This window comes from Homo sapiens, chromosome 8 (genome assembly GCF_000001405.40).
Source record: "Homo sapiens chromosome 8, GRCh38.p14 Primary Assembly".
Lineage (NCBI taxonomy): Eukaryota > Metazoa > Chordata > Mammalia > Primates > Hominidae > Homo > Homo sapiens.
In genome coordinates this window covers 103,895,355-103,920,951 of record NC_000008.11, presented here as the reverse complement: position 1 = coordinate 103,920,951, position 25,597 = coordinate 103,895,355, and the positions used below count along the sequence as shown (strand labels likewise).

Below are 25,597 nucleotides of genomic sequence, written 5' to 3'. Positions count from 1 at the left end.
TCTCGGCTCACTGCAAGCTCCGCCTCCCGGGTTCACGCCATTCTCCTGCCTCAGCCTCCCAAGTAGCTGGGACTACAGGCGCCTGCCACCACGTCCGGATAATTTTTTGTATTTTTTTTTTTTTTTAGTAGAGACGGGGTTTCACCGTGTTAGCCAGGATGGTCTCGATCTCCTGACCTCGTGATCCGCCCGCCTCGGCCTCCCAAAGTGCTGGGATTACACGCGTGAGCCACCACGCTAGGCCAGGAAGACCTATATTTAAGGGAATGGATGTATAAAAACTTAATTGGGAACACAGTGAACCTACAACACCTCTGGGACATCCAATGGGAGATGTAAAGCAGGTATGTGGAAGTACAGATGGGACCAAATGTCAAAGTAGAGACTAGTGTTGGAAATTAACCTGTAGAGTGGTATGCCTAATTGGAAATGAGGGGAAACTGCAAGCCTTGGGATTAGAAGTAATGGTGATACCTTTTATATTACTAGCAAGTAGAAAGAATGAAAGCTTTCTACTAAGAAATAAGCTGGGTTTTTTTTGTTGTTGTTGTTGTCGTTGTTGTTTTTTACAATAAAGGTTGTTAAGCTTTAGGTAGCAGGAAGACACAACAGAATGTATTCTTTGAACATCCAGGCATGTAGGGACAATGATAGCTCCTTTTGGTAATGTAAACTTGGAAGTCATACAGCTGGCAATTACAACCATAAGAAGAAAATAATTTATTGAGGAACCAGGAATAAAGAGGGTTAAGGACAGGGGCTTGGAAAAAAACTCAATGTTTAAAGAATAAAAGATTGGATCTAATCTGAGAAAGGACCCCTGTCTCCTCAGAAACGATTTTGGAATTATAGTCTAGGGTCTTTTTAAATAGCTAAAATAAGATAAAGGTTTCCATGCTGCTCATGCAGTATCTGAGAGATGTAATAAAGGTGAATAAAAATTTTAACCTACCCCATAGGATTGTTGTAAAAATTAAATGTGATGGTATAGGTACAACATCAAGCACAGTTACAAGTACTAAATAAAATGGGAGCAATAAGGATAATGATGATAATATCATTTTATAATAATTATAATTTTATTATTTATGTTAGAGTTTTATGTGATCATGATATTACTTTGGATAAAATCATTTAGCACGTAGCCAAAGATACTAAATCAAATAAGCCATGGGACCATATTGTAAAGTATAGAGCTATGGCATTCAAAGGACTACTCTGATAAAAACTTTAAAGAAACTTGTAATTGTAAATATGAAAGTAAAAAACATCTATTTTAATAGTACATTCTCAACTATTGTGGTATATAGAGAATCTGACCACTTCTCACCATCCTCATTGCTACCACCACGGTTTAAGTCACCACTATCTTGCCACTAGATTAGCCTTCTCACTAGTCTCTCTGGTTTTACCCTCGACTCTATTTAATCTATTTGCAATCTAGTAGCCAGATTTTAACACTAAGTATCTACTCAAAACCATCCTAGATAGCTCCCAATTTTCCTGAAAGTAAAAGTCAAAGTCCTTACAGTGGGTTATATAGACTATGCAATTTGCCCATTATTCCTCTGTCCTCATTCATACCATTCTTCCTCTTGCTCACTCCATTCAGCTACACTGGCCTCGTTGAATTTCCTTAAATGCACCTTAGGCTTTCTTGCCATTGCATCCACCTATCCTGTACCTGGAAAGATTTCCCCCCAGGCAGCCACTCCAAATGTTTCCTTCAATCCTTCCTTCTCAGTGTGGTCTATCCTGATCAACATATTTCAAACTGCAATCCTTTTTTTCCTCTCTCCCAATATCCCTTACTGTACTCTCAATCAATAAAGTAACTTAGTTCATTGGAAAAAATTAATTTAACATTGGAAATAGCACTCAAAATAATTTTTTAAATTATAGATAAATTTGACATTAAACTTCTGTATTTATTGTTCCACTACTGCTCTGACGTTAAATCAGAACTGTTATCCCACTTTCCAAAAATAGAAATTAGAATAAATGTAATTATTCACTAGTTTATTCCAAGCATTTCCCCCCACTTAATGAGGATGAGGTTACAAATAGCAAATTTTAAAACTAGGGGAAGTTTTGGGGATGAATTTTTGGGAGTAGTGAATATATTCATGATTTTTTGTTGGGATGATGGTTTCACAGGTATATATGTATTTCAAAACTTACCTAATTGTGTACTTTAAGTATATGCAGTTTATTGTAGTATACCTTAATAATGCTATCTAAAAATCTGTAATAAGACATGTTTAAAAAAAACTTAAAATATTCTACATTTTTGTTTTTCCCACAGTGACATGAAATAATACTAAATTTTCCATCTTTATATGCTTACAGACTTGATAACAAGGTTATCATATTTCTTACTTCACATTACTAGTTAAATACTTCATCTGATCTCTGATGAATGCAATTATAAATAACGTTTTCTTCCAGCATAAATAAAACTTACTGGACTCCAGTTGTGCATGTGTGCTATCAGGTATTCGCGGTATATCTCTGAAATGATTAAAAAAAAAAAGAAAGACAGAAACTGTTTCAACAATTAATGCAACTCATATTTTTTATTATTATCAACCTATTAATAGGAGAGTGTAAAATGAAGAAAACTGTGTATAATAGTGGCATTATATAAATAAGAAACAAACAAGCCTTAGTACTTATTGCTAATAAAAGTATCCTGGGCTAACCCCAACTATTTAAAAGGAATTAAAATTCACATGCATCCATAGCATACTTTTAAAAACAGACTTTATTTTCTATGTGCCTCACTACACAATTACCCATTATAAAAAATTTGCATTCAACAAGATAAGTTTTACAGATACATTTTTATTCTATTCTGCTCTTTGGTTTTACCTGCTATTCTAAATGAGTAACATTAAAGTGCAAATAAAATATCACCAAAATAAAAAGTAAGATATTCATATTGTGATTAAAACTCATTTTATTTTATTTATTTTTATTTTTTTAAGATGGAGTCTCACTCTGTCACCAGGCTGGAGTGCAGTGCCGCGATCTCAGCTCACTGCAACCTCCACTTTCTGGGTTCAAGCAATTCTCCTGCCTCAGCCTAATTTTTGTATTTTTAGCAGAGACGAGGTTTCACCATGTTGGCCAGGCTGGTTTTGAACTCCTGACTTCAAGTGATCCTTCCGCCTCGCCCTCCCAAAGTGCTGGGATTACAGGCATGAGCCACCGGAAACTTTTAAAATGTAGTAACATCATTGAGAAAAAGGCAAACATGTTTCTTATGGGGAATCTCAACATTACCTTGGAACTATATTTACACCAAAAGTAAGTGTATCTTTTTATTTGAGATTTGACACAAGGGGTAAACATTAATGGTTACATTCATTCAGTAAATTACATAAAGAACTATAAATTCTTTAAAATATTAAACAAAAATATGACTTGAAGATCCTTTAATACCAAGAAATATATTTGATCAATACACAAATCTTATGCACTGCAGTTTTACCATAATATAAAACTATGAAAGGACAAAATAAAAAATGAATACAATTTCAAGTGCCAGATTTAATACTTTAAAAGGAACATTTCAATAAAACTAAGCTACCACCCTAAGTCGTTTTCTTCAGCATTTTTAAAAAAGAGATAAAAATAATACAGGCCCATCATTTCCTAAATGAATTAAAACTGGACATTACCATTCTACAACAAAGGATTTCTGTAGGCTTCACCCTAGAATGCTCTTACCCCAAATCTGCATGTAATAATTCACTAACAGTAGTATTTTTCTGTTGCTTTTACTCTGATATAGGTATATATTTTACCTTGGCATGTAATGTAATTCACTTGCCTCTTTAATATTTATTGCTAATGTTTGGAAACTGTCAATTTTAATTTATAGGCATTATATTTAATGCATAGGCATTATAAAACAGAGGTATAAATTACAAAGCCAAAGAGTACTTTGGTGTTTGCTTATTTTTGGTCTGTTTGTCTACCTTGTTAAAAAAGATTTCATGTTTTTCCATAAACTATTACCTCTATGTAGGAATTGTATGTCCTTTGGCCCTTTCTTTCCTATGTTGAAATCTCTATTTTGAAAAATGTAAAATTTATAGACTATAGATGATTTATAGTCTCCTTCCCCTACTAAATCCTATAACCACCTTCTAAAGTGTTACAACAAAATGAATAAACACCTAAATATTTCTTCTTCTTTTGTAATTAACTATATATTCTACCATCTATATGATCAGATAAAGAGATATCATTATTTTTGGTGTGGTGCTTTTGTTAAGGAAAGAGAAAAAGTTATTGTCTACAAAATAATTCATTTCCATAAAGCAATCAGAAATTATTAAATGGCACATTACATATTGTTTAACACTATTCAACTTCACACACATATAAAATACTGAAACCAACTTACCCAATAGGCCTTGAAACTACAAGTTCTACTTGTGGTTCAGGTTTGGATTCTAGAATGATGTTGTACACTTCCTCAAATGTGGCTCCTTGCAGTAGTCTTCCATTCCATTCTAATACTTCATCACCTATAGTGGGTGTCAGTAATAATAATCTTATACAGAAAATTTGATCTGACAAATTACACTTAAGAGCATCTTAAACTTCAATAAACTCCATAGGATAAAATAACCATTATACAATACGAAACATACTGAGAACAACAGTTCCAGTGACACAAAATTTGATGACCATGTTGATTAGTATATTTCACAGGAAAGGACAATGATCGGAGGAAAAAATTATGTAAACATTATCTCTATGGGATTTCTTAATAGAAATTCGAATTCTAAGCAACTATCAAAATCAGTTGCCTCCTTAAAGATTTTATGACTCTATACTCCAGGTTTCTCAATATATGTGCAACTGAGCACCTTGTTTTTTTGTAAAGGGTTTCCAGTATCTAAATTCTCTTGTAAAAACCTTAATAATTAGTATATTATCAAATCCTCTTTAAGGTACTCAAGGATTTCTCCAACAGTATCCATTAACAAAGAGATAAGGGGTGACACACACGGTAGGAAATATGCCTTTATCCATAAAGTTTATTCTAAACTATGTTGGAATTTTCTCAAAAGAAAAAGGTCTTAGGGGAAACAAAACAGGTTAATATTAGATACAGATTAGAACACCAATCAGAAAAAAGTAAGATAAAGTCAAATAAAAATGATTTTTATCTACTATGACTCAAGAAATAATAGTTTTGCCTTTCCATTAATGAATAGAGATTTATATCTAAGTTAAATGAGCTCTTTGTTATTGTCAAATCACTTCTAAATAAATGAAAATAACTCATAACTACTAAAGTTGAATGGTTTAAATGTAAATAATCAAAGGTAAAACCCTACCTGGTCTAAGATGTCCTACAGTATCAGCTAAACTTCCTTTTTTTACTTTAGTAATAAATGCACAAAGCCGACCTGATTCAGTCATCTTTCCTCCTACAACCTGTTTAAAAGAGGAAAGTATTAACATGGGAATATTGTTAAAATGAGCATGGTTGAAGATTCAGGTAAAAGAATACCTAGAACAATTTGCAACACCTAAAACGCTAATTTAATGTACAGAAAATGATTTCTTAAATAATTTATTGTCTCTATTAGGTTAGCACATGCCCTAAGAGCTAGGTCTTTTTCACATATTCCAACTGTTTTGCCATTTAATCCATAATTTGCTGAAGTGTTGCATAACTTAGAAACAACATAACAATTGGTAATTTTTGTCCTGATTCAGGAATTCTTGCTTTTGTCATTTACAAAAACATTTTACAGTATCATTAATTATATAAACATTTCTAGTTATAGATGTAAATACTTTAATACAAAATTTTTGTTTCTTTTACTATAATTAGGATATACCACCAAATTTTCATTGATAATCTTTTAGAAACACTGATAATGTGCTTAATGATGATGGATCTTTCTTGAAAAAAATTACAAAATTTACGTAATCGCATCAGAAGTAACATAAAATTCAGACCATCTGAATCCCAATTTTTCATTTTTATGTTTCTATTAAAATATAACTTTTAGAAAATGAATAAAAATGTTAGGAATAATGCTGTGGAGTCATATGTATACCTGCTGTGGAGTCATATGTATACTTGTATACCTTACAAAATTAATGCTTTGATTCTAATCAACTGCCATTCAGTCAATATCTCAATTTGATGGCAAGTGAAGCAAATAATAGCAACTCACTGACTGAAATGAATTGGTTTTTCTCTTCTAAATAGAGTGAAAGTTATTTGAATTCAAAAATCACGGGGTGTATCTTATTCCATGCATTTTTTCCATAATTACAGTGACTTGCACATAGCTTCAATTCAGTTAATAAACTAATTAGTCCTATGTTTAATTCTGAAAATTATATGTATAGCTCTTATTGACTTATATCCTTAAGTAAATATTTAAAAACTTTTTGGCTTAACAAACATTAATAATAATTAATTATACTGGCTATAATGATTATTGATATCTTAAAGCTTGCCAGACACTTTACTAAATGTTTGTATGTTGATTTATTTAATCATATTACAACAATTCAATTATCCTCATCGAACAGGTAAGAAATCTAAAGCTAAGAGAAGTTTATTTGTCCGGTTTCACGTAACTAGTAACTCCTGTATTTGGAATTGAAGCCAAGACTTGCTAACCTTTATTCTAACACTATAATAGGCATATCTGGATTAAAAAAATTGTTTTTAAGACAAAGGGTCTCACTATTTTGCTCAGGCTGGACTTGAAACCCTGGGCTCAAGCAATCCTCCTGCCTTAGCCTTCCAAGTAGCTGGGACTATAGGCACATCTCACTGTCCCTGGAAATGGTCAAATCTGAATTTAAATCCCACCATTGTCACCATCTTGTGACCATGGGTAAGTTAAACACCTTTCTGGGCCTATTTCTCATCTATTGTGAGTGTTCTAGGATAACAGATATAAAATGCTCAGGTTGAGTGCAAGCACATGGATGCCACACAATAAATGTTAGTAGTCTGATATAGTTTGGATGTTTGTCCCTGCGCAAATCTCATGTTGAATTGTAATCCCCAATGCTGGAGGTAGAACCTGAGGAGAGGTGTTTGGATCATGGGACAGATCCCTTGTGGCTTGGTGCTGTCTTTGTGATAGTGAGTTCTTGCAAGATCTGGTCATTTAAACCTATGTGGCACCTTGCTTCCCACTCCCACTCTCTCTTGCTCCTGCTTTTGCCATGTGACATGCGTACTCTCCCTTCACCTTTGACCATAATTGTAAGCTTCCTGAGGCCTCCCCAGAAGCCAAGCAGATGTTGGCATCATGCTTCCTTTAAAGCCTGCAGAACTATGAGCTGATTAAACCTCTTTTCTTTATAAATTACCCAGTCAGGTATTTCTTTACAGCAATGCAAGAAAGACCTAATACACAGCCCAATTCTACCTACATCCAAAGTTTCCTAATATCTCTTATATTCTACAGGACAATTTTTATAGGAATGGCTTAGCTCTAAAACATTTACTTTTTTTAGAGAGAGACAGAGTCTCACTCTGTTGCCCAGGCTGGAATTCAGTGGTGTGATCACAGCCCACTGTAACCTCGAACTCCTGGCAATCCTCCTGCCTCAGCCTCCTCAGTAGCTAGGACTCCAGGCATGTGCTGCTATGTCCAACTAATTTAAAATTTTTTGGGCTGAGCGCAGTGGCTCACGCCTGTAATCCCAGCATGCTGGGAGGTCATGGTGGGCGGATCACAAGGTCAAGAGATCAAGATCATCCTGGCCAACATGGTGAAACCCCGTCTCTACTAAAAATACAAAAAAAAAAAAATAGCTGGGTATGGTGGTGCGCGCCTATAGTCACAGCTACTTGGGAGGCTGAGGCAGGAGAATCACTTGAATCCAAGAGGCGAAGGTTGCAGTGACCCGAGATCATGCCACTGCACTCCAGCCTGGGACATACAGCGAGACTCCATCTCAAAAAAAAAAAAAAAAAAAACAACAAAAAAAGTTTGCTAGAGACAGGACTTCACTATGTTGTCTAGGTCGGTCTCAAACTCCTGGTCTAAAGCAATTTTCCCACCTGGGCCTTCCAAAGTGTTGTGATTACAGGCATGAACCATGACACCCAGCATATTCTTTATTCATTTCAGGTTTTAATTGGTTATACTACATGCACAAAAAACAAACAAAGCTCTATTTAATGTATTTACCAAATAATTTTCTGGTATTTTACTGTAAAACATAAATCAATATTTGTATTTAATCTCCCAGCATAATTATTTTTGTTTTTAGAATTCAAACAGTACTCTCTCTTAAGTGCACATATGCACATACACATGCACACACACATTTTACAGCATTTATACAAAATTATATATATACACATATGCAATATACATATATATACATATTACATTTCCCAAGTTTTCATTTTCAGTAATTATTAAAAAACTATCACTTTAATAAAATATAAACATAGATTTTGACTTAAAGAATAAACTGTATAATTAAAATACATTCGACCACTGTATTTAAGATTCAAGTAGATCTTAATTAGGTTACTTTTAATGTCTTCCAAATTTATATATATACAAGTATTACTGTGGAATTATGGCAACTTCTTAAATAATAGTGGGAAAATGAAATGTTTTAGATAATGAGTGCGAATCTTCACAAACTATTGAAAATGGAAAAATACACTACTAAATTGGTACAGGTTGAAAGAGTTATCCTTTGCTTTTCTGGTAAATCTGTAAGAGTATAGAGCCAAAATCTCATACTTTTTATTACATACCTTCAAGCCAAGCATTGCTCCTGAATCTCGAGGTACACTTCCATCTTTTAGACGCTTATTTAATAAAATGCGACCAATTAAACGATCTCCATCTTTAGATGGTTGCCAGGTTACAGGGTGCTGACATTTTGCATCAACAAACAAAATAAATAAATACAAAATAAATAAATGATTTTATTTATCGTTTTATGACAAATGATCTCTGATTGTACGACCTCTCTAAACTTCAGAATTTCAGTGTTATGATTACACAAACCAGCTTTCATTTCAAAGCACTGATCATAAGGGTGTACTATATTATGCTTATAACCTCAATATAATCTCAAAGTTTTTTTCAAAATCCAATTACTTCCAATTCTTACAGTTCTCTAACACAATACTGAAGTTATATAGCTCTACAAAATCTGAGAAATTTTGAAAATGCATGCAACTCTAATTATCTACATGCTGAAAAATAAAAATTCACGGGAAGAAAAGATGCATTGAAATTCTACGCAAGTGAATTCATTTAAAAATGAAAATTTCCTCTTCAAACACTTTTGGAAGATTTTGAAAGCCTGTATTACAGTAAAAATTTAAAAGTCAAATCATATTAAAACATTACATTTGAGCCTATGATGAGGGCTTTTTTGCATAGGTTTCTAGATTAAAATAATAAAGTGTACACAAGCCCCAATAAATTCCCAGTTGAATCTGCATGGGAGAAATAGGCTTCATCTACAGGTGAGAATAGATTACAGTTCTCATTTCTCAGAGGTTCTTTCATGATTCTTTCAGGTCTTTGATCTATTTAGTAAATTACCTTTACTAGATAATTCAATGATATTCATTGTTAAATAACCTTGAAAACATTATTCTTTCTTTCTCAGGGCTGAACCAAGGCCTCTGTAAATAATGACAGTATTCTGTTATGAATGATATTCTAAGTAAAGAAAGTAAATGATTTGTGTAATCATAGTTTCACAGTTATCAAAAAGTAACAGGCATATCTTCATGCAAAATTTAGCAGGCAAAACATAAGTTCCAGTCAATTACATCTATATTGTAAAAAGATATCAAAAGTCCCACTATCCTAAGAGCAACAATGATAAATATCAAAGCAGATGGCAAGGGCTCTAATACTAATTAATACCACATTAAAATGCTATGACAATAAAACAAAAGACCAAAATGACAGTGAAAGGGAAAAAAGAAAAACAACTTTTTCTGTGCAAACAGACCCAATTATCTCCCTTTTGCCTGGGATTCAAACTATTAATAATTTAATTTTCATCCCAAGGAAAATATATGCAAACAATCAAATAAGCCAATCCAAAACTTATTTATTATTTGTGGTTTTTAATAACATTACAAAGTTCTCTCATGCGACAAAAGACAAAACATTCCTTTGTTCCTAAGTTTTATTTTCATATACTTATTTTTTGGTATGCCGTCAAACAATAAAAACAGCAAAGCAAGCAAGAGGTTTTTTTTGGTTTGTTGTTTGTTTAGTTTGGTTTTGTTTTTCTTTTCTGCACCTTAAGAAATGCTACAGTGACCCTTGAGATGCCCTGTCCTTTTATTATGTTCTGTTTTAATGAGTGACAGAGAGCAAACGAAGACCAAATGAGCAGGTTAAAAGGCAGGCTCCACAATCTCAGTACCTTATCACTATGGCTATGCTCCTCGTTAAGGGTTGTGCTACTACACGTATCTACCCCAGAGTCCTTAATCTGAGGTTCAGACCATTCCAAATCCTCTTCCAAAGAGTGGCCACCAAAGTACATCATTTCCTTTTGTCTCTCAGACCTGGTGTTAGAGTCCGACAAAACTGCCTGCTCACTAGTTTTTCTTTTTCCCTTTTGACTGTCCCCTACAGGTATGGGATAAAAAAAAAAAAAAGATACAAAAAAGAAACATGCAAAGGTGTAAATAAAAAAGGAAAAGTGAAATGATAACGAAAATTAAATAGTAAGGCTCCACATGTCTCACCAAAGACATTGGGGATGCCTCACTGCTATGCCAAGACGTATGATCCAACCAGTTGTAATCCATGTCTCCTGTGAGAGTCAGACAAAAGAGTGCAGTAAAGGAGATGGTGAAAAAAGGGACAGACAGAGACATTATAAACATTTTAAACTGTGTGATCCTGTCTGGTCTCAAGAACTTTGTCTGTAGCACTCACTATATATATATATATATAGTGAGTGCTATATATATGCCAAAAGAAAGCTAATATTCAAAAAGTAAAATTTATAGAAAGTATAATATAAAGTTTATATCTCTAGACAGACCCTACAAAAGTCCTGCAAAAAGAGAAAAAGCTAATAATAAACAGAAATAATAAACAGAAATAGAAACAAAAAATGTATATGCTGAAAAAGACTATTAGCTATGACTGTTATTCATGCCATATATTTTTTTTACTCCTGTGCTGGTCTAAAGACATGAGTTTGTTCTCCAAAGATTAAGGGACATTTAAAAAGTTTACATTGGTTTGCAATAGCCAGTATTTTAAAAAGCCAAATAATTAAAAGTCATTTCTGAAATGCAGTATGATATTCTTCATCATGCTAAAACCTCCTAAGAAATTTGTGTCGTTAAAAAAATTGTTTTCACAAAAGATTAATTTGTATGAAAATTATAAAACAGGTTCATTCAATATCTATTAGTAAAAATAAACTTTACTTAAACATCATGAATCACTTAATATTTTGAAATAATTTTTCCACATTTTTCAGAAATCACATTCTTATAATAAGTAAATTACAAAAAATTTTGTCAGACAATTTATGTAATTGGCAACTAAGAATGTATATCCACCATTTCCCAAACTTACATGCTTATTTGCTCAGTATTTCAAAATATAAAATATTTTTATCTTAAATTTTTTAGTCTATATATGTACATATATCTTTTAAAATTCTATTTATAATTTTATTTTTCTAAAAATACTGAACACCTTCCATTTGGTATGTATTGTGCTAAGCTCTACTTGAAAGGGTAAAACAATGAAATATGCTTACAACAGAGTAGGGATAGAGAAACAGATCATCAGTGTCATATAGAAAAATACAAGACACTACGAAAGAATACAATAAGATCTAATTTAGACTTTGGGGTCAGCAAACACCCCTCAAGTAATGTTTAAGATGAGAACTGAAAGATGTGACATGGTGCTATAAAAGAACTGAAGGAACACCATGGTTTCTGAACCAAAAAGAATGAAGAAGAATATAGTATTAAATGAAACTGGTAAGGCAGCACAGAACAACTTAGGTAGGTCTTTCTATTTCATATTAAAGATTTTAAATTTCAAACACTGAAGGATTTTAAGTGAAATGGTGACATAATCTGATTAACATTTTAAAAAGGATGAATATAAGTACTATATAGAGACTAGGTTGTATGACACCAAAAGTTAAAAGACATTTACAATAACCCTTGGGAAAGGTAATTATGGCTTGAATAAAGATAATAGCAATAGACATGGTAAGAAAAGAGGGATTGAGAGATGTTTTTGAAGTAGAAATAACAGTGTTAAGAAAGACTAAAGAGTCAAGGTTAACTCCCCGGTTTCTGGCATTAATAACTGAATGGAAGAAAAAATTTATGAGATGGAGACGACTGGAGGAAGAGCACTTCTTGTTAGGGAAGGGTAACAGGGAATTACTCTATTTCATAAAATATATGATGCCATTGACTATAGGATTCATAACTTTCAGGATATAAAATGATAAAAATGTACATCTGAGAATGTATTAAATATGGTGGTTGATTTTTGATATATTATTTGAACCTAGTGGACATATAAGAAGGAATCTGGTCAAGGTGTAATAAAACTTAAAGTTTTGGCCAGGCATGGTGGCTCACGCCTGTAATCGCAACACTTTGGGAGGCTGATGCAGACGGATCACGAGGTCAAGAGATGGAGATCATCCTGGCCAACATGGTAAAGTCCCATCTCTACTAAAAATACAAAAAATTAGCTGGGCATGGTGGTGCACGCCTGTAGTCCAAGCTATTCGGGAGGCTGAGGCAGGAGGATTTCTTGAACCTGGGAGGCGGAGGTTGCAGTGAGCTGAGATTGCGCCACTGCACTCCAGCCTGGAGACAGAGCGAGACTGTCTCAAGAAAGAAAACAAAGGCCGGGCGCGGTGGCTTACGCCTGTAATCCCAGCACTTTGGGAGGCCGAGGCGGGCGGATCTCGAGGTCAGGAGATCGAGACCATCCTGGCTAACACGGTGAAACCCCGTCTCTACTAAAAAAAATACAAAAAGTTAGCCGGGCATGGTGGCGGGTGCATGTAGTCCCAGCTATTCAGGAGGCTGAGGCAGGAGAATAGCGTGAACCCGGGAGGCGGAACTTGCAGTGAGCCGGGAGCGCACCACTGCACTCCAGCCTGGGCGACAGAGCGACTCCGTCTCAAAAAAAAAACATAAAAAATAAAAATAAAATAAAATAAAAAAAACAAAAAATTCAAAGTTTTGATCTGGAGACATAAATTGGCAATAATTAACATATAGACAGGAGTATGTGAGATCATTTAGAAATAGAGGGTAAAATAAGGTATGAAGAGAATCCAAACTGAATTCTAACATTTAGGGTTTGATTTGAGAAAAAACAAAAAAGAGAAAAGATTCAGAAACAGCATGCAGAGAAAAAAAAGGAAGGAAGGAGGGAGACAGAGGGAGGTCTACAAATCAAATAGAGTTTCCTAAAACAAAGAAGAAATCAACTATACTGAATGATTTTTACTTATCAAATAAGATGAGGAGGTGAAAAATATGCATTGGATTTGGCAATCATGAAGATTAGAAAAGATGTCAGGAAGAACAATTGGATAGAATGATGAAAATTAAAACCAGGTTGAAGAAACTGAAGAACCAAGGGAAGTAAAAAAGTAGAAAAAGTTGTGTGTAAATGAATGGTTCTCAAATTGCATTCCTCAAAATAGCATCATCAGCAACACCTGGGAACATGTTAGAACTGTAAATTCTTGGGTGCCACCCTAGACTTAATGAATCAGAAACTGTTGGTGGGCCTAGCAGTCTATATTTTAACAAGCCTTCCAGATGATTATGGTTAGATGTTTCAGAATTACTGGAGGCAATTCTTTTAAGAAACTAATTTATAAAAGAGAATAGGCTTTATTACCTAACACACACAATATGCAATTTGTAGAAAGAACCCCATTCTTTCTGTGGGCTAGAGAAGTGCTTCCCAAGCTTTTTCATGGCACAAATAATTACAATATTGGTAAAACACACTGGAGTATATGGAGATGACCAGTACATGGGATACTTAATGCCCATGCCTGGATGGCTGCCCAAAAAGCTAAGTGTATCTATGTCTCAGAAAACCTGTAGCCCTTTCAAAATACAGTATTGTCCCATAACAAAGCATTGACAAATCTGTGCACTAGAGATAAAACAGTAGAAGCCTGAAGCCTGTAAATAAAAATTCTTAACTGGTTTGTGTGACAGTAAGAAAATTCAGCTCAAAATTTCTCTTCTCCCTCTGTGCTTGCAACCTACCAAAAAGGCAGAAATGTAATTCTTTTTCTCTGAAAATAAAAAAACATAAGCTGTTTAACCATTTGAAACTAAAGCAAAAACATCTGATTGACAAAAAAACCTGTCATATATGCTGGGTGCAGTGGCTCACGCCTGTAATCCCAGCACTTAGTGAGGCTGAGGCAGGTGGATCACCTGAGGTCAGGAGTTTGAAACCAGCCTGGCCAACCTGATGAAACTCCATCTCTAATAAAAATACGAAAACTAGCTGGGCATGGTGGCATGTAGCTCCCAGTCCCAGCTACTTGGGAGGCTGAGGCAAGAGAATCATTTGAACCCGGAAGGCGGAGGTTGCAGTAAGCTGAGACAGTGCCATTGCACTCCAGCCTGGGCAACAACAGAACGAGACTTCATCTCCAAAAACAAAAACAAAACAAAACAAAACAAAAAACTGTCATGTATAAGTACTAACTAAACACTTGTTGAATAAGTAAAATTAGTGTCCCTGTAAGAATAAGATAATTAATGGTAATTCATATAGAAAATAGTCCTAAAAACTATTAAGACTATTATTATAGACCTAATAATAGTTTCCACTGGATATTCTTATTTTTTGCAGCTTAATAGTACAGAACTAAGATAATAAAATATCTTTCTTTAGTAACAGTACAAAAATGTATTATTGGGCTTTCCAGTTCTAGAACAAGAACTAGAAAGCACATAAAGAACCAAATGGAAATTTTAGAACTAAAAAATTACTGAAATACAAAAAGCAAATTGATGGGCTCAACCACAGAATGGAGAGGACAGAGGAATGACTCAATGAACTTGAAGATGGAACAATAAAAATGACCCAATCTGAAAAACAGACAGAAAACAGACTACAGAAAAAAAAAAAAAAGAAAAGAAAATGAACGGAGCCTCAAGGGCCTAAGAAACTATAGCAAAAAGTCTAACACTCATATCATTGTAAGTCCAGGAGAAAAGAAAGTGAATGGGCTAAAAAAAAAAAAAGTATTCAAAGAAATAAAGACTGAAAATTTCCCAAATTTGGCCAAAGATATAAGCCTACAGATTGAAAAACTATGTAAAACCCTATACAAACAATACCCAAAGATATCTGTTACAAGATACACCATAATCAAACTAAAACTAAAAACGAAATATCTTAAAAGCTCCAAGAAAAAAGCAACACCTTACCTAAAGGGGAAAAACAATTCAAATGATAGCCAACCCCTCATCAGAAACAGAGGCCAAAAGGAAGTGGCACAATATTTTTCAATTGCTAAAATAAGAGAAATGTCAACCTGAATTCTAAATATGATGAAATTATCTCTCAGAAATGAATGAGAAATACATTCTCAGGCAAAAGAAAACAAAGACAATCTGTCACCAGCAGATCTATCCTAAAAAAATAACTAAAGGAAGTTCTTGAAACAAAAGAGAAACAAAAAAAGAAGGAATCTGAAAGTATCAAGAAGAAATAAAGATACTAAACAAAAATATGGGTTTTCTTCTCCTCTTGAGTTTTCTAAATTATGTTTCTGATATTTAAAGTGCAGAACATACATTGTCTGATGTGGTTTTCAACATATATAAAGAAAATATTTAAGACAAGTCCATTATGAGATAAGGGAGAAAATAAAGGAATTTAAATGACTTAAGGTTTCTACATTCCAGTCTAGTTAAACGTCAGCACCAATACAAGGTGATAAGTTGTGTACATGTAATATATTACCTAAAGCAACCACACAAAAAAACCTACAAAAAGAAATACACTTAAACATTCTAGCTCAATCAAAACACAATTCACAAAATGTTTAAAAAAAAAGTTCAAATAACCTGTAGGAAGGCAAGGAAAAGAAAACAACAAAATGAACAATAGAAGGAACAAACAGAAAACAAAAAAGAAAATGACAAACTATAAATGAGCTGTAGACCAATATTGTTCATGATTATAAACATAGAAATCCTTAACAAAATATTAGCAAAGAGAATCCAGTGACATGTAAAAAGAATTATACACTATGACCAAATGAAGTTTATTCCTGGAATGCAAGACTGGTTGAATATTTGAAAATCAGTGTGATCCACATATTAAAAAGTTAAAGGAAAATAATTACATGATCTTATCCATTGAGCGCTGATGTAGAAAATGCATTCATGGTTTTTAAAAACTCTAAAAAAAAATTGAGGGGAACTGGCTCAAACTAACATAGAACAACAATAAAAATCCAACAGCTAAGATCATACTTAATGATAAAAGGCTGAATGCTTTATATAAACAGAAATTTCACCAAAGAAGATATCTTCATTTATAACAGGCAAAAAGTGGAAACAACCAAAATATCCATTAATAGTTGTGGTATATCTATACCATGGAATGCTACTTATAATAAAAAGGAAAAAACTATACACACAACATGGATAGACCTCAAGGGCATTATATGAATTGGAAAAAAACTCAAAATGTCACATACTGTATGATTTCATTCATATATCATTCTCTAAATGATAAAAATCTAGACATAAAGTACAAATTAGTGGTTGGCAGACATCAGGGATGGTGGAGAAGGAGTAAGATGTCATTAGAAAGAGGAAGCGTAAGAACAATCTTTGTGGTAATATAGTAGTTCTTCATCTTTATAGAAGTGGTGGTTATATGAATCCATATATGTGATAAGATGTCCTAGAACTATAAAAACATTGTTCCAGTATTAGTTTCTTAATTATAGCTAAGCAAGATATAACCACTGAGGAAACTCGGTGAAGCATATATAGGATCTCACTGAACTATCTTTCCAACTTCCTACAAATCTATAAATACTTCAAAGTAAAAATCTAAATGTCTTGCTGCCTTCATAGACTGTCACCACCCCATCACAACAGGTGTTCAAAGAAAAGGCTAGAGTATCACTTGTCAGCACGATGTAGAGAAGGGTCAATGCTTCAGATAGGAAGTTACACAAGAAGCACACTAAATCCTGTCTAACTCTGGTATTCAGTTATTCTATTAACACAAGTTAAACATACTTAAATATGAGGACCTGACAAAAAATAATCTAAAAATTTGAACCTTTGACTAAAATTTCCCCTTCACTTACTTCTATTGTAAAATACAAACAAACCTAATTATGTGTGTATGTGTGTTCTATACACAGAGAAAAAATGTTCATATATTCTATTTACAACATTTTGTCATACAGTCATTACATTAAGACAATAGTTCATTAACTATTTTATATCATTGTTTTTCATTACTTTGGGTTAATAAATACTTAAAAATTAAATCACATAGTACATAAAGGCATTCTTCAACAACCTCATTTTCAACTTCATCATGTTTATAAAGTAATAACATGTTGTAACAGAAAGAGTTTTATAGTTGAAGCTAGAAAAGCTATACTAATATACTGACTTCACCCCTTATCAATTTTATGACTTGTACAAGTCATGGGCCTCATTTTCTCATCGGTTTTGAAAAAAATTAGTTGTGATATCTAACAGATTGCTGAGAGTTTTAAATAAGATAGTCATGAAAGCTCTTTGCAAAGTGTAGTCATACCAAGTTCATGATCTCATCATCATTTTTTAAAAAAATATTAACTTTCATTCTAATTAGGTAGGGAACATTTAACTATGACTCTTTTATGTTTTTTATTTCTCTTCTTGGTATTCTGTCCTCCTTTTCAACTTGTCAAGTTATACATGTGGCATTTCCCAATGTGTATTGCATGGAATACTGGTTCTGCAAAATGTTAAAGGGCACTGAGTAATTTAAAAGTTCTCTAATCAAATAACTTTGGAAAACTCTAATTTAAGTACAATTAAATAGGTTTCTTGAGTGTAGGACTTTTTTCAAATAATAACGACAATATGCTTCACTAAGAGGATTATATAATATATTGTTTCCACAAACTTAATTGAAACACAGAAGATTTCTCAGAGGACAAGTGTCCCAGGAACTATATTTTGAGACATATTGCTGAAGCCTTCCTGGAGGGTCATTTCCTCTCATAAGATAGTCACTAAAACTGATAATAAGTCTTAAGTCTTTCCCATTCCAAAGAAAATGTTCTAGTAAACTATTAAACACAAAGTCCAACTAAAAAAGGTCATATATAGGGTATATTATGTAAGGCAATGGTTTGCAAACTATGTTCCATGGAGTTGCTTCAGAGAAAACTGTTGGACACTGTGCAGAGGACTGATTGTAGCCCATAATCCCCACCTCATGGTATTCATGGCTTTGTATATGAGTCACAAGTCATATGACCTGTGACTTGCTCATAAACAAGGTAGGGGGATGGCAAGGTGATGGGATCTTACTCCCATGACACTGTTAAGTTTCATAAGACTTTGCCTTGCTAGTCAGCTTGTTTTAGATACTCTCTTTGCTGGCTTAACGAAGTAAGCAGCCATGATGTAAAGCACATGTTACAAAGGAAATGCAGGCAGCCTTTAGGAACTGTGGATACCTTCTAGGAACTACTAACAGCCTTTAGGAGATGTGGGGGAGCTGATGGCAGCTTCTTGTCAAAAGGAAATAAATTCTGCCAACAATCTTATTAAACTTGGAATCAGATTCTTCCCTGCATCAAGTGTCCAGATAGAAATGCAGCACAGATGACAACTTGATTGTAACTGTAGGAAACCTAGCTTAGCCATGCTAAGACTCCTAACCAACAGAAACTGTGAGATAATAAACATGTGTTGTTGTTTTAAGCTGCTAAGTGTCTGGCAATTTGCTCTTAATTCACTGCCAGCTCTGAAAGCAGCAGATTTTAGAATAGGAACCAAACCAAAATGTCAGTAGATCTAGAGGCCCCATGTGCTTAGACCAAGTCTTAAGCTCCAATACAAAAGCATGGCTGGCTAAAGTACAGTAGAATTTGAAATAGGATGATAAACATTATCCATAATTAGCTTATTTTTTAAAATCTTGCTCTTTTGGTATTACCAACATATTCTTCTTTAAAAACATGTAATTGATGAAATGATTGTATATATGGCATATATTAGAATTCATCTTAATAATTACACAATTTGAAACTGTTCTAGGTTCCACAGGTACAAATAGGAGCTTAAGAAATTCACATTCTAGAAAGATAGACAAGTAAAATATATAATTTAAATATGTATATAGATTTCTTTGGAAGCATATAGTCTCATTTCCTGCAACTAGTGGGCATAAACAGCTAAGTATCAAGCCCAAGTGTTAATTATAAAGGTAACAATGCTCTAAAGAAAGTAAAATTCTCAATGTCAGCAAGTTTGCCACACTAAGGGCAGATTCCTGAAAGTAGGGAAACCTGAGGCATGGAATGGGGACATCTTAGCTGCATGTACTTGAAATTCCTAAAACTAGATCCCCTGAACCCTCTGAATCTGAGGATTCAGATGCCCCTCCATTTGCTAAAGAAATAAGAAACACACTGCTGAGGCAGACACCAGCATCATTGAGAATACCAGTGTTGGCTTTCCTCTTACTGATAGGGCTGACAGTAAGAGATGTTGTTACTTATCTGGGCTCCCCAAAAACAATCAGATAAAGAGGAGCCTGAAATAGAGGCCAGGTGACAGCTATTAGCAATCAAATACATAGTGAGTATGCCATTATTATAATGAGTGTCAAGGTAGGAGTGGTAGCCACAGAGTATGGATACACATTGCTAAGGAGAAGATCATTGAGCACAGCGTCCCTGGGGGCAAGACAGATGCGCAACTAATGAAGATATGCCCAATCTATATAATCAAAACAAAAATTATGGATAATCAGGAGGCTAAGGGAAACCACCCCAATAACAAGACAAAACTCCTTGCATAGTTTCTGGATCTAAACCAGTTTTCAGACATGGAATCCTGTGACTGAAAGAAAGGATGAGTTGCCAGGAGGAAGAACTCTAACATCATGGAAAGTGAATTCAGCTGTTTTCTCAGGTAACAGTAAACACAGGAAAGGAAATAACCCACACATTTTAAGAACTATTGGACACAATGTACCTAGTTGACAGTGACACTGAAAATCCCAGTATCATCATAACCCCACTTTTAAATTGGGGTTATATAGAAAATAAGTAATAAATTGAGTCCTGGCCCAAGTCTGGCCCATGGTAGGCTCAATAATTCCACAGATTCCATTTAGTGGTATTTATAGCAGTCTCCATATAGACATACTTGGTATTCAGAATAACCCCTACATTAGTTCCTTGGCCTGTGGAATTAAGAACTACTATAATGGCCTGGCCAACACAGTGAAATCCTGTCTTTACTAAAAATACAAAAATTAGCTGGGCGTGGTGGTGGGCACTTGTAATCCCAGCTACTCAGGAGGCTGAGGCAGGAGAATCGCTTGAACCCAGGAGGTGGAGACTGTAGTGAGCTGAGATCACACCATTGCACTCCAGTCTGGGAGACAAGAGTGAGACTCTATCTCAAACGAACAAACAAAATCTCTCAGCATTTGCTTGTCTGTAAGGGATTTTATTTCTCCTTCACTTATGAAGCTTAGTTTGGCTGGATATGGCTACCTGAGTTCAAACTATACTACAAGGATACAGTAACTAAAACAGCATGGTACTGGTACCAAAACAGAGATATAGACCAATGGAACAGAACAGAGCCCTCAGAAATAATACCACACATCTACAACTATCTGATCTTTGATAAACCTGACAAAAACAAGAAATGTGGAAAGGATTCCCTATTTAACAAATGGTGCTGGGAAAACTTGCTAGCCATAGGTAGAAAGCTGAAACTGGATCCCTTCCTTACACCTTATACAAAAATTAATTCAAGATGGATTAAAGACTTAAATGTTAGACCTAAAACCATAAAAACCCTAGAAGAAAACCTAGGTAATACCATTCAGGACATAGGCATGGGCAAGGACTTCATGTCTAAAACACCAAAAGCAATGGCAACAAAAGCCAAAATTGACAAATAGGATCTAATTAAACTAAAGAGCTTCTGCACAGCAAAAGAAACTACCATCAGAGTGAACAGGCAACCTACAGAATGGGAGAAAATTTTTGCAATCTACCCATACGACAAAGGGCTAATATCCAGAATCTACAAAGAACTCAAACAAATTTACAAGAAAAAAACCACCCCATCAACAAGTGGGCAAAGGATATGAAAAGACACTTTTCAAAAGAAGACATTTATGCAACCAACAGACACATGAAAAAATGCTCATCATCACTGGCCATCAGAGAAATGCAAATCAAAACCACAATGAGATACCATCTCATGCCAGTTAGAATGGCGATCATTTAAAAAGTCAGGAAACAACAGGTGCTGGAGAGGATGTGGAGAAATAGGGACACTTTTACACTGTTGGTAGGACTGTAAACTAGTTCAACCATTGTGGAAGACAGTGTGGCGATTCCTCAGGGATCTAGAACTAGAAATACCATTTGACCCAGCCATCCCATTACTGGGTATATACCCAAAGGACTATAAATCATGCTGCTATAAAGACACATGCACACATATGTTTATTGCGGCATTATTCACAATAGCAAAGAGTTGGAACCAACCCAAATGTCCAACAATGATAGACTGGTTTAAGAAAATGTGGCACATATACACCATGGAATACTATGCAGCCATAAAAATTGATGAGTTCATGTCCTTTGTAGGGACATGGATGAAGCTGGAAACCACCATTCTCAGCAAACTATCACAAGGATAAAAAACCAAACCCTGCATGTTCTCACTCATAGGTAGGAAATGAAGAATGAGAACACTTGGACAGGAAGGGGAACATCACACACTGGGGCCTGTTGTGGGGTGGGGGGAGTGGGGAGGGATAGCATTAGGAGATATACCTAATGTAAATGACGAGTTCATGGGTGCAGCACACCAACATGGCACATGTATACATATGTAACAAACCTGCACATTGTGCACACGTACCCTAGAACTTAAAGTATAATAATAAAAAAAAATAAAAACAAACAAAAAGAACTACCATAATGGGGAAAGTCAAGCCTAAGCCTCTGAAAATTCCATCTCCCACTGGTGAAAATTACATAAAAAATAAGGGCACAAAGGTGATGGCCTACATTATATTCCTTTTTTTAATTCAACAGTCTGCCCTCTAAAAAAGCAGGTGCATTGATACATCCTAAAAAATGACAGTGGACTACTATAAACTCAATCAAGTAGTAGCCCCATCTCAGGTTAACATGCCAGATGTTGCATCTTCCCTAAATAATTAATACTGCCCCAAGTACATGATATGCAGACACTGAACTGGTAAATATGTTTTTTTCCATTCCTATCAAGAAGGACCAGAACTATCACATACCCCTGGGATGGACAAAAGGACATACTGATAGTTCTTTCCAGGGTTATGCTAATTCTCCTGCCTTCTATCATAATACAGTCCAAAAAGACTGAGACCATAGGGACATTCCACAGGACATCATATTGGTCCACTATATGGTGAGAAAGAAGTAGTAATTATATTTGAAGTCTTGTTTAGTCATATACTCTTTAGAGGGTAGAAGGTAAATCCTACAAAGATTCAGAGGCCTGTAACACCAGAGAAATTTTTAGAGACCTAGTGGTCATGGGAATGGTCAGATCATCCCCTCTGAGACAAAGGACAAATTATTACCTCTTGTACCTACCACCAATGAGAAGGAAGCACAACGCGTGGTAGGTCATCTCTTTGGATTCTGAAGGCAGCATATTCCACACTATGCAATATTGATTGGACTCAATTGCCAAGAATACAGAAGGCTTCCAGCTCAAAATAGAACCCAGAGCAGAAAGACGCTTTAGATAAAGTCCAACCCTGCCACTTGGGCCACATGATATAACAAACTATATGGTATTAAAAGCATCTATGGTGGGAAAAGAAGCCATATACAATTTATGGCAAGTCTCACTAGGAGAATCACAATGTACACACTTGTTCTGGAACAAGGCCATGTAGTCTGCAGTGGAAACCTATATACTACTTCTTGGTATGCTCTTAGCCCTGGTGGAGGGCAAAGATCTAGTCATAAATCATCAATGACCAAACAGCTAGAAGTGCCCCTCATAAGCTAGGGTCTGCTAGGTCTGCAAACTGAAAGGTTGGACAAGCCAAACAATGATTCATTATAAGACAGATGTAGTGATCCATATTTGAGCATCAGTAGGACCAGAGGGCATGAGTAAAATGCATATGAAGGTAACGCAGACTTCCATGCCATCTACTAATATTGTATTGGCATCTCTCCCTCAGCTCACATCTATGGCCACATGAGGGGCCACTTATGGCTACCTGACAAAGGAGGACAAACATCATGCCTGGTTCACTGATGGGATAGCTCAGCATGTGTATGAAAGCCAAAAGTAGACTGGTGCTGTACCACAGCCCTATTCAAGAGTGGCCCTGAAAGAAAGCAATGAAGAAAATAGGCCAGGGCTTCAGATGGCCATCCACTTTGTGTAGAAAAAGAAGGTGCCATGAAGTAAGAATATATACAAACACATAGGCAGGGCAAATGGCTTGGCTAATTAATAGGCCAACAAGGGAAAAAAATTCACAAGATTGAAGAAAAGGATGTCTGGAGAAGTGGTTTGTGAAAATATCCATGGGAATAAGGGGAAAAAAAGATGTATGTATCATGCTTTAAAGCCCTTTGGGTAACGGGGCTCTTTGGATGGTCCTTGAACAAACCATGTCTCCCAGTATCCATGCCCTTCTGTGGACCCCTCTCCTTGTATTTTCTGTGACTGTTTTTTAATACCAAATAGAATATTGTAGGAGTGATGCCACATGAGTCCAAAGCTAGGACAGAATAAGTGGCGTCTCAGAATTATATCTCTGTGAGCCCTGAGCCATCATATAAGAAGTCCTTATAGGGAAACTGCTATGTTAGACCAAAAGTAGGTGCACTGGTTCAGAATCCCATCTAATCATCCCTGCTAAGGTGCCAGATGTGCAAAATAAGTCATTTTGGACCCTCTAGATGAGCTCATACCACCAGCTAAATTCCACCAGTGTTAACCTCTATAGCATCATTTGAAGAAGAAAAACTACACAGCTGAACCTTGCCTGAATTCCAAACTCACAAAATCATGCAAAAGGTGGTACTTCTAGATAGTGGCACAAAGTGTTGACTATTTCTCTTCACAAAAATCAAGTATAAGTCTTGAAAAATTGGTCACAACAATTGTATGGCTGTGGAAACCAAACAAAAGCAGATATCAAATTGAGAAAAACTTCTAGAGCTTCAGATAATAACAACAGATATATGTTACCTTCTTACCTAGCGTTGCTTCCATAACTTTCTTCTACCAGAGTACATACACAGGACGGGTCTACTGAAAGGATCAATAAATCTATCAGCGTGAGGATGGCTGGGAAAACCAGCAGCTTTTTTGCTACCAGAAGACATAAACTTGATTTGGGGTGGAGCTGAAAACCCAAGGTTTTGTCAGCTAAAAGAGGCAAACCCAGTAAGAAATAGAAAACCAGCAATTTTTCTAGCCTAAGGCGTGGTCCAACAAAGGGTGAAGCAGACCAGTCAGAAATTTGACAGGAAGACCATGGAAATAAGAGACCCTCAGAAAAGCTAAATACACTCTCCACATATATCAGGCTAAGAAATTATACCACTTCTTAGACACAGGGGAGATCCTGAGAGAGCACGGTAGAAAGTAAAACCCAAGGGTTGAGAACTGGCTGAACTTTAAATGTGTCTGTATACCACACAAACATTAAATGGCATAAGGTGGAGGCTTTCAAATTCAAGATATTTGAGCACAACTTCTACCCAAATCTTTGGCTAACAATTAGGATCGTGACCCAAAGAGTAGAGACTTCAGAGGGACACATACCACAGGGAGACAAATTCTACATTTTAAGTCCAAGAAAGTTACTATAAAAAGGAAAAGAAAAAAGAAAACATAATCCTCAGGAAAATCTGTAAGAATCCAGAGTTATTACATGATCATCACTTAAAATGCCCAATTTTCAACCAAAAATTATAAGACATTCAAAGAAATAGGGAAACATTACTCATAACTAGGAAAAAAATCATTCAAAGAAACTGACTGCCACGGACTAAATGTCTGCATGCCCCTCCTGCCAAATTCATGTGTTGAAGCCTTAATCCCCAATACAATAGTTTTTGAGGTGAAGCTTTTGGGAAGTCATGAGAGTGGAGTCTTCATGATGGAATTAGTACCTTTATAAGAAGAAACACAAGAGAGATTATCTCTCCCACATCATGTAAGGATACAGCAAAAAGAGCTATTTGCAACTTGGAAAGAGGGCCCCCACTAGACACTGAATCTGCCAGCACCTTAATCTCAAAC

General features: G+C 35.2%; 1 protein-coding gene across 64 annotated transcripts in view; it reads right to left on the bottom strand.

Moving 5' to 3' along the window:
• Positions 1-25,597, bottom strand: part of RIMS2 (regulating synaptic membrane exocytosis 2) — a 755,485-nt gene that overhangs the window by 335,143 nt on the left and 394,745 nt on the right. For 38 of the 64 annotated variants that reach the window (NR_145710.2, NR_145711.2, XM_017014015.3 and 35 more), the window contains 5 exons: positions 10,751-10,818; positions 8,780-8,899; positions 5,358-5,457; positions 4,415-4,538; positions 2,465-2,511 (listed from right to left, as the gene is read on the bottom strand). Coding sequence is in view for 62 of the 64 variants with exons in the window: in XM_017014015.3 (XP_016869504.1) it covers positions 2,465-2,511; positions 4,415-4,538; positions 5,358-5,457; positions 8,780-8,899; positions 10,751-10,818 (459 nt within the window). In the remaining 2 variants the exon portion in view is untranslated. Of the gene's footprint in view, positions 1-2,464; positions 2,512-4,414; positions 4,539-5,357; positions 5,458-8,779; positions 8,900-10,422; positions 10,632-10,750; positions 10,819-25,597 lie in introns of all 64 variants that reach the window. The other 26 variants (XM_017014009.3, XM_011517395.4, XM_017014008.3 and 23 more) reach the window with 1 other exon arrangement.